Source organism: Homo sapiens, chromosome 8 (assembly GCF_000001405.40).
Source record: "Homo sapiens chromosome 8, GRCh38.p14 Primary Assembly".
NCBI lineage: Eukaryota > Metazoa > Chordata > Mammalia > Primates > Hominidae > Homo > Homo sapiens.
In genome coordinates this window covers 60191943-60205600 of record NC_000008.11, presented here as the reverse complement: position 1 = coordinate 60205600, position 13658 = coordinate 60191943, and the positions used below count along the sequence as shown (strand labels likewise).

General features: G+C 35.7%; 1 protein-coding gene across 3 annotated transcripts in view; it reads left to right on the top strand.

Annotated features, from left to right (window-relative positions):
* CA8 (carbonic anhydrase 8) overlaps positions 1-13658 on the top strand; it is a 95989-nt gene that overhangs the window by 75800 nt on the left and 6531 nt on the right. The window lies entirely within an intron of this gene.

Below are 13658 nucleotides of genomic sequence, written 5' to 3'. Positions count from 1 at the left end.
TCTTTGGTTCAGCGGTGCTAATTCAGATTTATGGGTGCCTATTGATATTAAATGATCCTTTACCCATTGAATTTTCTATATGATGCAGGAGAACTAAATGTATTTTAATAACAATGAACAAATGATATAACAAGTTTAAGGTCCAGTTTACTTGTTACTTTTGGTATCATGACATTGGTACTCATCTTCCAGCAAAATGATTATTTGATTATTTGCCTTTTTACTTCATAAAGTGTTAGCCCATTTTTAAAAGGCTGTTCTGACGCTCAAAGACTGTCTCGCTTGTGACCTAAATATTGTTAAGCTGTATACATGTTTACAGTAACTATAATGAATTATAATTATTTTCTGTAAAAAGCAATGTCACACGGCTCTTTAGTTTCTCTTTTTTTCTGCCTTAAATGTGGAAAAATAAGAATGCCCTAAATACGTTAAAAAAGAAACAAAGCCAGAAAAATGGGGTTATTCAGCAAGCATCTCCAAATAGTCCCATTGTCAAACTTGCCCTTATTTTTCTTTTGGGATCTTTGAAGTTATCCTTGACTGTTGAACTCTTCCCTACTTGTACTTTTGCGGTTAATAATATTGTCTTCTTAGCTTTAATAAAGCTATAACAAGTATCAATTTCATATCAGTCTTCTTTGATAACCTAAAAGAGTTACAGGTTAGAAGAGGGTAAGGCATTATAGAGAAGGGGGTGCCTGTGTGAGGAAAGGAAAGTGAGAATGTTCACTCTGAATGACCAAGTAGGTGAAAGCTATTATCCTTCCAGATTAAATGGAAAGCTCAAAGCCATATTTTCAGTCAGTAGAACTTGGACTCTCCTCTGATAATTTAACATGGTGCACAGCATTAGGGTTAGAACTGAAGGCTCTACAGATGTAGCTGTTTTCTATTTATTATATCTCATAGAATTTCCTCCAACTGGAATGGATTTCCTACCAGATCTCAAAATGATTTCAGTAAAATGCCAAAACACCAAGGATGCTCAGAATACCTATTATGTTTTGATTATGTGATATAAAAATTATTAACCCACCAATGAAAAATACAAGAGCTGTATGAGCTCTCTTCAAGATTACTAAACAAAGAAAATAATTCGTGCTTTAAAATATATCTCTTCCTTTTTATGTTTTAGAAATGTTAATAATTTATCATGGATAAAAATTTCAGAATGATTTTTTCCTCCCACTATGAATTAAAACAAAATTGTGTTTGGGAGGAAGAATGTTTTGCAGTCATGGGCCAACTTGTATGTCGAATGTTAATATGTTCTGATACCCTAGATACAGTAGATTTCATGATTTTAAACCTAAAGAATATATTTTTCCATAAGGAAATCACTGTGACCAGTTTGTCATTTAAACATGTTCTTTCATGCCTTTTACCTCATGTATACTCAAAAGTGGACATTAAAAAATGGCTTTCAAGTATCAGCAAAAGGCTTTGAATTAGCTAAGGAAAGAATTTATTTCTAGAGGCTCCAAGAAAGACCTTTCCTGTAAGTAGGTGGTTTAAATCTTGAGTGGGTTTTTGAGGAAGACTAAGGCATTAAATACTTGAGGTTCCTAGGTGGTTTAGGTGGGAACCTGCCTGGACAGGGATTGGGGAAATGTTCCAACAGACCTCACAAAGGCCCTTCGAGCACTGGATATTATAGTTCCCTGGTTTATGATGAATATGCTTTCCTGTGTCTCTATTAAATTTATCATGGAAAAGAGAAACCAGAGAGAACAGGAAGCAGGTAAATGAGGAGGAAAATGAAGTGAATTTTTTTTATGAATTAGGTTTTGTTAGTAAGTCTCCAACTGAAAACATAAAGCTTAAAAATTCATCTAAGGAAATTACTAAAAATGCTAAAAAAACAAGTGCAGAAATCATTGGAAATCACCTATACTTTAATCAGGAGTATAAGGAGATACTTTTTTAAAAAAGCATTGAATAAATTTGTTTTAATATTTTCTGTACCTCTTAAAAGAGGGTATTATAGAAGCAGTAGTATCAAATAAAGCTTTTATGTCAGCATTTCATTATGATTAAAAATCTTAAAAATAGAGGGAAAATAGAATCAAAATAGGATTTATACTGAGATTACTATTTTTTCAATTGGAAAAACTGAGAGACTTGCCTAAAAGTCTACCTCATTCAGATTAAAATAAGGGGTTAAGGAATTGAAACTTTATTAAAAACTGGATTGTTACTAGGCAGATACCAAGAGTTCATATTAGACCGTGTAAGAGTAGTGACAATCAGGGAAGTTATCCTTTTTCTTTCAATAAAATTTTACCTGACCTTCAGTTTTCTATTTGTAAGCATCTCATTTTTCTTTTTTTTATCTCCAATCTTAGCACCTTGACAATTTGTTTTAGCTGTCTGCCTTTTTTGGGTCACTCCTAGAAATCTGCCAACCTAAAGTCTAGAATGTTCTCCTCTCTGTTTTCTGTTTAAATGCTGTTGATATTTGAAGGACCAGGTTTTACCTCCATGAAGTCTTTTTCCCAAGTAAACTGACCTTACTAATCCTTCTTTGCTTTCTGAGTTTAGTACCATGTTAGTTTAGTTTTAAATTATTATTTTTTTTTGTTTTCTACTGCACTTAGCAGTTTTAGTTTTACTTACTCCACGAGACTATAAATGTCTACGTAGTAGAGTCAAACAAGTTTGTAACATACTTCATTAAGCAGGTTTTCTTCATGCAAGACTTCTGAGAATCTTTACTATGCCAGGGACCTATGTGAACTCCAAGAGGGTATGGTATAGTATACAGCATTTCACAAATTTATTTAACCAGCTAATAATACGAGATTGCAGAATATGTTTTGGTAAGTGCTTTGGAATGATCCAAAGCATTCGTTGTGATCTTGGAGGACCTAAAATAGGGAGTATGGTAGAGTCTACAGGTGGGGGCCAGAGCCCATAGATGCCCCAGCCTCTCCTCCACATGCCCTTTAGGGATGGAAGGTTGAATCCTGGATGTGTGCTGAGATCTTGTTAAGCTATCTTAGACACAGCATGAAGTAAGTGTAAATTAAAAAATAGTTTTTAAATTTTATACTTGAGTTAAAGGCTAACAAACCCTTCATGGAAACCCTCCAGTAGTAATAATAATTTGTTTGTAATAAATTGCAGTGTGCCATAGAGTGCCAAGAACTATGAGGTGCGGTTCATATATGTCTCATTTCACCTCAGAACAACTCTTCAAGATGGACATTGCTTTTTGAAGATTTTATCAATAAAGAAACTGAGTCCTGGCCAGTCGTGGTGGCTCATGCCTGTAATCCCAGCAGTTTGTGAGGCTGAGGCAGGCGGATCATGAGGTCAGGAGATAAGAGCATCCTGGCTAACATGGTGAAACCCCATCTCTACTAAAAATACAAAAAAAAAAAAAAATTAGCTGGGAATGGTGGCAGGCGCCTGTAGTCCCAGCTACTCAGGAGGCTGAGGCAGGAAAATGGCGTGAACCCTGGAGGTGGAGCTTGCAGTGATCCGAGATCGTGCCACTGCACTCCAACCTGGGCGACAGAGCGAGACTCCATCTCAAAAAAAAAAAAAAGAAACTGAGTCCCAGAAAGTTTGTCTTCCCAAAGTACATAAAGCTATCAAACTATACAACCAATGAAACTGATGGAAACAGTCATTTAAAAATAATGCCCTTAAAAATTCAGATATTTATTTTGTTATATTGGTCAATTCTGATTCTGAACAGCTTTCAGCTTTCAAGGAGATGATTATAGTTGCATTAAAGTACAACACGAAATTTAAAACTTCTAGGTTAGGAAATAATGAAGTAAACCTAGTTGACCAATCTAGAGCCTCATCTAGTACCTTACAAATAAATATTTGTCAATTAAATGGAAGTATTTACTTACTTCTGTGAACGTCATATTTATCTTGGAATTATTTGGAAATTATGAAAGTATGACTGCAGGTTGTCTTTTTCATATTTTAGATATTTTATTGTTATATAGTGATGCAACAAAAGGAATGTTCATTTTTTTCCTCACCAAAAAATGATACATTTTTTAAGGGGCATTTTTAGACCTCATTTTACTGGATCTCTCAGCAGGTTCTGATACTGCCTGCCTTCTTGCCACGTTCTTATTTTGGTGTCCATATACCCAGTTTTCTTTCTACCTGCACCACCTTTCATCCTCTGCATGCTACACGAATGTTCTTTTAGGAGGCTACTTAATGTTGGAGTCCACTTAATGTTGGAGTCCTCATGGTTCAGCCTTTGGGGCTGTCTCTGTAGGTGAACTCATCCATTCTCACAGCCTGTCACCACTAACAACACATGACTCATTTACATTCCTAGACTAGGTCTTTTAATTAACTTCTAGAATTGAATGCCCAGCTGTCTGTAGAACTTTTCTTTTAGATGTGTCAAAGACATCTCAAACTCAACATATACAATATTGAATTTATGGTCTTCCTTCACAGACCTGCCTCTCTTCCAGTTTTCTTTGAAACGTGAGCCGTGCATGACACCTCTCTTCTTTACCTTACCCCATATTTCCGTTTTATCAAGTTCTGCAGATTTGCCTTCTGATAGCTCTCAAAGCCATCTATGTGTTTCCATCTTTGTCATCACAACCCATAAAGTTAGCGTCATCTCCTCATGACTGTTGCAAGAGCATCTCCCCTTTCTTCTACATAGGATTGTTATGGCAAGATTAAATACAAGATAATAAATACAAGATTAAATAAAAATATATAAAATAATAAAAGACAAGAAGACCTATAGCACTCAAACTTGCATGCCAGCTCTGGTTGATTTGTACCAGCTGTCTGGAGAGTGTTGAGAAGGATTCTGAATCCACATCTGAGCACAGTGAGAGTGATGGAATTGATGGGGAGGATTGTGGTGGTTAGTTATTGTCATCCACAAAATAAGGTAGTATTATTGGCATTTTATTTAAATATCTGAGCTATTTATATGAAGTCTTTTAAAAATGGGCCCTGGAAAACTGATCTACATTAGATCTACTGATATGTAGCTAGGTGTTAGCAATTATTGAGGAAACACAGAAACATGATAAAATTACTGACGTCTCCTGATTTACCTTCTTGTTATTATTTTTATCTCATTTATATATAGGTTATGGTTCTGATGCTTATGTATGGCAAATTGCTTACATATGGCAAAAACTAGAGAATCTAAAATCTCAGCATGGAAATGAAATTACATAAGGGTGAAGAAAGGATTATGGTAGTGTGGAGTAATTTACCCAGACCCCCTTATTGGGGGTAGAAGCCATCTCCCGAAGAAGGGAAAGGGTTACATGTCTTCCATTTGATCCTCTATAACAAAATACCATAAACTAACATCTAAGCAACAGAAATTTATTTCTCACAGTTCTAGAGGCTAGGAAGTCCAAGATCAAGGCACCAGCAGGTTTGGTATCTGGTGAGGCCCCACTTCTTGTTTTGTAGAATGGTGCCTTCTCACTGTGTCCTCACATGGTAGAAGGGGCCTACTGGTTTTCTGGGGTCTCTTTTATAAGGGCAGTAATCCCAATCACTAGGCCTCTGCCCACATGATCAATATAATCACCTCTCTAAGGCTTCACCTCATCACCTTAGTGGTTAAGATTTTAACATAGGAGTTCTGGTTAGAGAAGAAACCATGTAACAGAAAGGTAAACACTGACAACCCTCAGAAGGGTGAGAAACATGCTATTTAAAAATATTTTTAACAAGAATATACTAGAAACAAAAATTTTCATTTTAACTAAAGGTCTTTGAGATATTTTTATGTTGGTACATATAGATTGGCCTCATCCTTTGGGCTACTTCAGTTTTACTTAAACATTGCAGTTAAAACTTGTTTTCATTACATACAAAGCTAAAATAATCTAGATAATGCCCAGTACTAGATAATGCCCAGATTATCTAAAATAATCTAGATAATGCCCAGAATCTGAAATATTTATTGGATAATATGGAGATTTCTCCAGTCAAGAAGTTTGCCACCAGGTAGCACCAGGTAATAAATTAATTGTTAAAACTGTAAAACCACATTGGTTTCAGATGGGTCTGTTCTCCATTTCAGTGCTTCTTAAAACCCCTTCAGAATCTCTGAGTTCTTACTGCTTTTATTGCTCTGAATTCTTATTGCTCATTCTTTTATGAGTTTTATTAGGAACTCATAAATGTCTTTAGGGCTTGTCCAGAGAACATATTTTCAGAGACATCTTAGGAGCACGGAGTGGAATTGTATCTCAAGAAGTTCTTTAATCTAGTTTTTGCCTGAAGAGGTCTTCAACTAAATTATTCCAGATGGTTACTCCGCATACATAGAAAAAAACCGAAGCAATAAACCTTTGTTGTCTGATAATATCTCCTTCAGCATTTACTCCTGCCTAATGCCCAAAGGGAAAAAAAATCTTTTATGAGATATTCTACCTGTAAAGTGTTAACTGAGTTGGAATACTATTTTGTTGGTAATATTTTTAGTTTTTTGTAAATAAACATTTTTTTCATGAATATAACTGGTTGTATTTGAAGCATTCCAAGATTTTTTTTTCCTTTTGTTAGCAGCCTGTGAAAATTCCTGCAACCTTTATGTTGCAGAGAAACTTAACGCAGTTTTTTGCAGGTATGAATGTTCATTCGGATTTTAGTATAGATACAACCAATGTTTCTCTAATGGCATCTTTTCTTTAAATAATAATTATATTTAGCGGATCTTAGCAATAAAATCATTGTAACGAGGAATAAAGGATGGTAAATAAGAATAACAGTGTTATTAATCATCTAAATTAGTTGTGTATGGAACATTCCTGTACCTGAAATATTTCCATAGGAAATAAGGCTAAAATACACATTTACTTATAATTAGATATAATACAAACCTTCTCTCATTATAATAGTTGCCCAAATCCCAATTCAACTTAATTTCATTGACTTTGATTTCTGAACTAAAAACATTAAGCTCGAACTAGTGAAAAATGTATAATATGTGCATTCAATTAAGAAGTAATTAGATAGTCAATCACCCTTACAACACACCAGGGATTAGAGAAGAAGGAAGAAAAATGTGACTCACTGTAGTGTGTAAAACAGTTTTGCTAATTAGTTTGGTGCTAATTGAGATGGAGAAAGTGTCAAAGTATCCTAACACAGGTTTACTTCTGAACTTTAAAAGCTAAGTTTAGCGTTTTATAATATTACCAACTTCTATGATTTATCCTTGAGTTTTGATCAAAGCTTATTTATTCATTCTAAGTTACACATATTAGTGAGTGATGGGAACAAAAAGAACAACTGCTTTTTAATATTTCAGACATGATGCTGTATTTTGTCTCATTTAGTCCTCGTAACAATCCTATGAGACCGGTATTTTTATTTTTCATTTTAGAGATAAAGAAACTGAGGCTGAGATGCGTTGAGTAACTTGCTAAAGGTCACAGCCAGTAAAGTGCAGAGCAAGAATTCAGACCTAAGTGGGCCCCACTCCCAATGCTGAGCTCTTTTCACGACACCACATTTCACAACAGCAAAGTGCAGAACATTATGCACTGTGTTTATCTTTTGCCTTCTTATCTCTTGTAGATAAATTCCTAGGAATGACATTCCTGGGAAGAAAGAACCATATGTTTTCATTTTTTCATAACATATTTGCTGAAGTACCCTCTACAAGGGTTATGCTAATTTGTGCTTGCACTGTTGATTGGGTATTTTATAGAAGGCATTTTTGCCATTTTTTTAACCAATTGTTCAATATATTCTACATCTCTTTCTCATCTTTTTACTCTTCAGTTTACATCTCCTACCTATTGAAACTGCTGTAGCAAAGGTCACCTTTGATTTCTCTGTTTGCTTTTTGTTTCCTTGTCTCCACATATATAGCACATGTTCATGGTAGAATATTCAAACAGTACAGAATAAAATGGAGCAGCAGCAAACGTCTCTCAAACTCTCCTCTTAGTGATAGCATCCCCAGCACTGGGGGTTGTGATGGATATGGAGGCCCTGGAGCACAGTGGAGATGGCTCAGGTTTCATTCAGATTCCACCAGTAATTAGTTGTGTGACCTTGAAAACGTTAACTGATAACTGTCTCTTGTTTCATCACTTAAAAGAAGGCTATAGTGGTATTTACCTCGTAGGGTGGTTGTGAAGATAACAATGAGATAATGCAATTAAAGTGCTTAACATTTTTTTTTTTGTCCACAGTGTAAGGATTCAAAAATGTTACCTTTATCATTATGATTGTCCATTGACCTCTCTTTATATATGTGTCTCATATGGTTACATATATATGTAATGTATCTTATGAGATTATACTGTGCATGCTATTTTTCAATCAGCTTGATGATATATCTTTTCATGTCATTGCATAGTTATTTTTAAAATGGTTTTACATACATTGCTTTTAAGTATATGCCAAAATTTGATGAGCTGTCATCAATAATACTGTGGTTAACTTACCCATTTCCTTAAAAAATTCTTAGAAATGAGATTACTAGGTCAAAGAGTTTTATTGTAATCCATATGCAGATTGCTTTTCCCAAGAGTTCTATGTTTATGTTCCCAGTAACTATGTGTCAGATTACACTTTTCACCTTCACCAGTGTTGAATATTTAAAATTTTTCATCCTTGCCAATCTCATTAAAAATGGCTCCTTACATTATATCATGTCCTGTAAATACTTGGTTCTATTCTTGACTTCCCTATTCTGTTCCATTTATCTGTGTATTCATGTGCATCGACCACAATGTATGTGGCATTAGTGTATATTTCAGTGTTTGGCCAGACAAGACCCTCTTTACTAGTATCTTCTGCAGGATTTTTCTGGCTATTTTTACATGTTTAATTTTTTCAGATAAACCATAAAATCATTTTATCAGAAGGATAGAAATAAAGAGCAAAAGAAAGAGAGGTTGAGAAAAAGAAAATGAAAGACAAAAATAAAAGAGAAAAAGGAATCCTATTAGGATTTTTAATTTGCATTGTATTTATAGAGTGATTAAGGAGAATTAATACCTTACAATATTGAATCTTTATATCAAGGAAAAATGCATAGGTCTATGCTTATTAAAGTTTTTTTATGTCTGTCATGCATTTTATAATTCTCTGTTCTCACAATATTTACTCCAACTTGCATATTTGGTCTCTGGAGTCAGCTTGAGTATGGCTTTTTGGGGAACACAGCACCTCTATTTGCTGTTCCACAACTTGGGCAAACTATTGATTCTCTTTCAGCCCTAGTTTCCTCATCTATGAAGTGGATATAGTAAGAGTTATAACCTCCCAGGGATGTGAGGATTTCATGAGCTATGGTAAAATGCACATCACAGTGCTTTGTGGAGGATTAGCATTAAATGTGAGCAATTACTATTATTATCATTATAGATTTTGACTAGCTATAGATTTTTCCATTGTTTAATTTTTTTATTGAAAAAACAATGGATTAGATTTGTCCCTGGCTTGCTTATTAACCTTTATATAGTTTTCGGTAAGATTTCCGCTGATTATTTTGAGTTTTCCAGATAGACACTGATAACACCCAACGATCATGACAGTTTTATCTCCTTCTTTCTGATTTTATTTCATTTCATTATCTAGTACTCCAGAATAATGTTAAATAATTAACAGTAATATCTGGCACCCTTTTAAAAATGTCTCATGTGCTTGGATTTCTGTTTCCAAATCCAGTGGCATGTTTCCCTCTTCTCTTTTGACTCTTCAAAAGTGTTTGACACTCCTGACCTCTTCCTCTGTTTCCTTCTCTCATGACCCGATGCTGTCATGAGTGAGAATGTTGAAAAAGAAGGTGTCTATATGCCGTTGCTTGTAATGGAAGGGCATTTATTTTTAACCCTCTGTTTGGTGTATGGCAGTATTCTAGGGGCTGAGTGAAAATATAAACATAACCAGTGATCAGCTCTCCCCTGACATAGCTCACAGCCTAGTGTCATGGGTAAATCAGACACACAGCTAACTCCAGGTCAGAGCAGCATGTACAAACTGCCTGAGGAAGTGTTCCACTAGTGTACAGGACAAAGAGCCCCCTCTGAAGAGGAGAGTTCTTATTTCTAGCATATTGCTGTTTCTTAAAAGACTCTATTTTGGAGATGTTACACTGAATTACTGTACTTAAAGAGGGATACTTTAGTTAGTTATCAATGAGCTGAGCCAAAATCACTGGAACTTACATCAGTACTGTGACCTGCAGCAACCTCTGAGGAGTAAGATGTGTGTGAACATGTGATTTTTAAATTTTTGGTAGCTTTTCAGGAAATTCTCCAGTAGTGATTTGCTTTGCACTCATTCCCTTGGGCCTCTTCATAAAAGATAATTCAAGGTTAAGAAAAAGTCATGTGAAAGATGGCATCTGCTATAACTATATTGAAATAGCTGATGATTTAGAAGACTTCTTAGGATGTGGCCATACTTTGAGGTCATCATTATGAACACTGATCATTGTATAATAGAAAATTTCTCTTTATGAGTAAGCTTCCTTATTATTTAGATGTAGATAAATGAATATTTGGAGAAAATCCCAAAGGGAGGAGTTCAGCCTTAACTTCATATATTCAAAGTGTTACTTCTTTAGGTGGTTTTACCAAATAAATTTGTATTCTGATTACTAACTAATGTAGTTATTGTAGGAACTTTAGAAAATACACAAAGGCATAAAAATGAACTTATATTTCAAATAATGACCATCAATTGAAGGTAGGCAACTAATTTTGTTTCCACCACAGACTGCATTAAAATAACAGGAAAGAGATTTTTTTTTAAGTGCATTGCCTCACAAGGATACAGAAGCAAGAGAGGAGACAACAGCCACAATACTTTGGAAGCTGGAAGCAGATGGTCTTGTAACAGATTTAGCAGATGTGAGGAACAAACCCGTTCGCATGATAGAATCTCTCAAATTCCCAGGAATTGGTGGCAACAGACATCATCTGGAAGCTGGAGTAAAAGGAGGCTAAAGACATCTGTATTGGTTGAAAGCTATTTAAGAAGCACTTAATCTCTCAGCCCCCTCCAAAGCCTTGGTGGACTGGAGATACTTGTCTTCTGGAGATGATTAAGAGAGAGACTCTGTACTTGGGGACACAGACACAATTGAGTGAGTAAATAACATCCTCAGACCTCATGTCATCCTCCCATACACTGGCAGAAAGGCCCCTACTCTCCAGATGAAGCTGGAAGTATCTTCTGGGGAGGGTCTGACCAGCCCAGGTGACTTCTCTGCAGAAGTGGACCAACGGGCTTATCCAGTGGTGATGGTGTAATAAAGAGGCCTCCACGGTGCCCTCCGCCTCCACTCTGGTTTTGTTGTAGTGGTTGTTTGCCAGTCCCAGATATGAACAGTTACAGATATTTGAAGAAGAACTGTAAATGAAAGAACCCAAATCAGACAATAAAGTGAGTTAAAAGACATAAATACTTTGTAAGAAGAGAAAAACTGTCAAGAAGTTGTCACTCATATATTTGGAGAGGTAAGGAAAGAAATTGCATTCACAAAAAAAACAGGGTGCTATTAAGAAAGGAATATTTAGAAAACAGAGCTTTTGGAAACTGAAAGCATGATAGCAGAAATGAGAACTTCTACAGATGAATCAGAAGGCAGAATTGAAAATTCTCAGAAATTACAGCAAAAGGCAAAAAGATGAAAAATACAGTAATGTAAGCAAATTAGAGGACCAGTTTAAGAGGTCTATCGTCCACGTAATAAGCTAGAGAGAGAACACAGAAAGTGGAGGAGAGGAATCAGGCAACAAAATTATCCAAAGCATTTCCCCAGAACTCGTGAGCATAAAGTTACAAATGGAAAGAATCCACTGAATTCCCAGCACAGTAGATCAAAACACACTCACACCAAGACACCATCATTGTGAAACTTCAGAACATGGAGGGAGAAATTCCAGAATGGCAAAAACCAAAGCAACAAACATGTCAAAATCAAGGAATCTGGAATTTGAATACCAGACTTCTCAAAAGCAACGCTGGAAGCTAAGGCAGTGAGCATGACCTTCAGAATTCTGAGGGAAAATTACAACCCACCAAATTCCTTACCTAGTCAAACTTTTAACCCAGTGTGTGGTTACAGTAGTCATTTATAGATATCAAAGCCACCACAAATTTATTTCCCAGAAGCTACTTGATATTGCCACACCAAAATGGAGTAAGCTAAGGAAAAAGATGTGGGATCCACGAAACAGGAGAGCCAGCAAAGGAGAAAAACCAAGGGGATGAATAAATGCCAGAATGACAGTAGAATGAGATCATAGGCAAACCAGGCAGTCAGTCCAGATGTGAGCAGGTGAGAAGGTTCTAGATGAGCTTTCTTCAGGAATGGTGAAGTTGATACAATGCATGATATATCTTCACTTCTTGAGAGGAGAGCTAGGCAATGGGTAGGTATTTGTGCATTGAATCAGTTATGAGCACGTAGAACACTTAGGTGGAAAAACCCAAGGTATTTATCACTCCAGAGAAAACAAAATGTTGTGCAGGAAAGAAAAATTAACACATGTAGTTCACCTCTGAATACTTTTACATCATTACAATAATAGAAGTTGCATAATTGATTCAACCAGATTTACTATATAGCCATATTTGGAGGATGGGGTGATGGGAAGATGGGAAGGGTTCATATGGGGTGGGGTGTGTGTGTGTGTGTGTGTGTGTGTGTGTGTGTGTGTGCATGATGTTGACAGGAGGAAAGAGGGTCAAATCTTCATTCTCCATAGGAAAAATTTATACATAATACTGAAACAAAATTGAAAGGTAGCAATACAATCATGCCATTTAGCTCTCTAGTGTTAAAATAATCAGCTAAAAGAGTTAAGGAGAAGGAAATTGGTGACACATAGGACAAGGGACTGATAGTTTCATAACAAACATTTAAAAACTTTAAGCCTTTATATGCATGCATAATTTTGATATAAATAATATTAGCAATTGCTACTGTCATTTTGTTGCACTTATTTATGCATGCACACACACATTTTCTGAGTGCTTTGGGTCAGGTGTTGGGCTGGAGCTTGGGAATACGGAACAGATGAGACCAAGCATTACTTTATCCTATGAAAACTTTCTCTAAAACACTGAAAAGTAAACTTCCAACACATGGCATAAACATAATGGGCCATACTTCACATTTATGTTGGAGCACAGTATTGTAGTTTAATTTTTAGCTAGTGAGATGATTTTAAAATCAACCAAAATTATTACTTATAGTACTATGCTCAGCACATGATATCTGCTGTCATTACAGTCCCACACATTCCCTAAGAAGTAGATATTGTCTGAGTCTCAGAAGGGGCAAGTAAATTGCCTAAAATCTTACAGCAAATTGGATAGAAGAGCTGGGATTTGGACTTGGTTCTCCCTCATTCCAAATCCATACCCCAGATTGTGATTTCATTGAAACATTTTTTCAGTTAATCTGGTATTTGCAGTAAACAAGATCAAGTGTACATTTTTGAGGCAGGTAAAGCTAATAAGATCATCATCATATGATCTTGGCATAGGTGGGTGTCATTTCTTTGAAAAATATATAAGTAAGAAAAGCTCAATAGCATAGGGTATTGAGTTTCCCCATGTGAGGGAGATTTTAACTGAGTGAGTGTGCAAATTCACCAGCAGATTCTACACGTAGGTAAATTAGAATTCATTCAGCATTTACCAAGAACCCC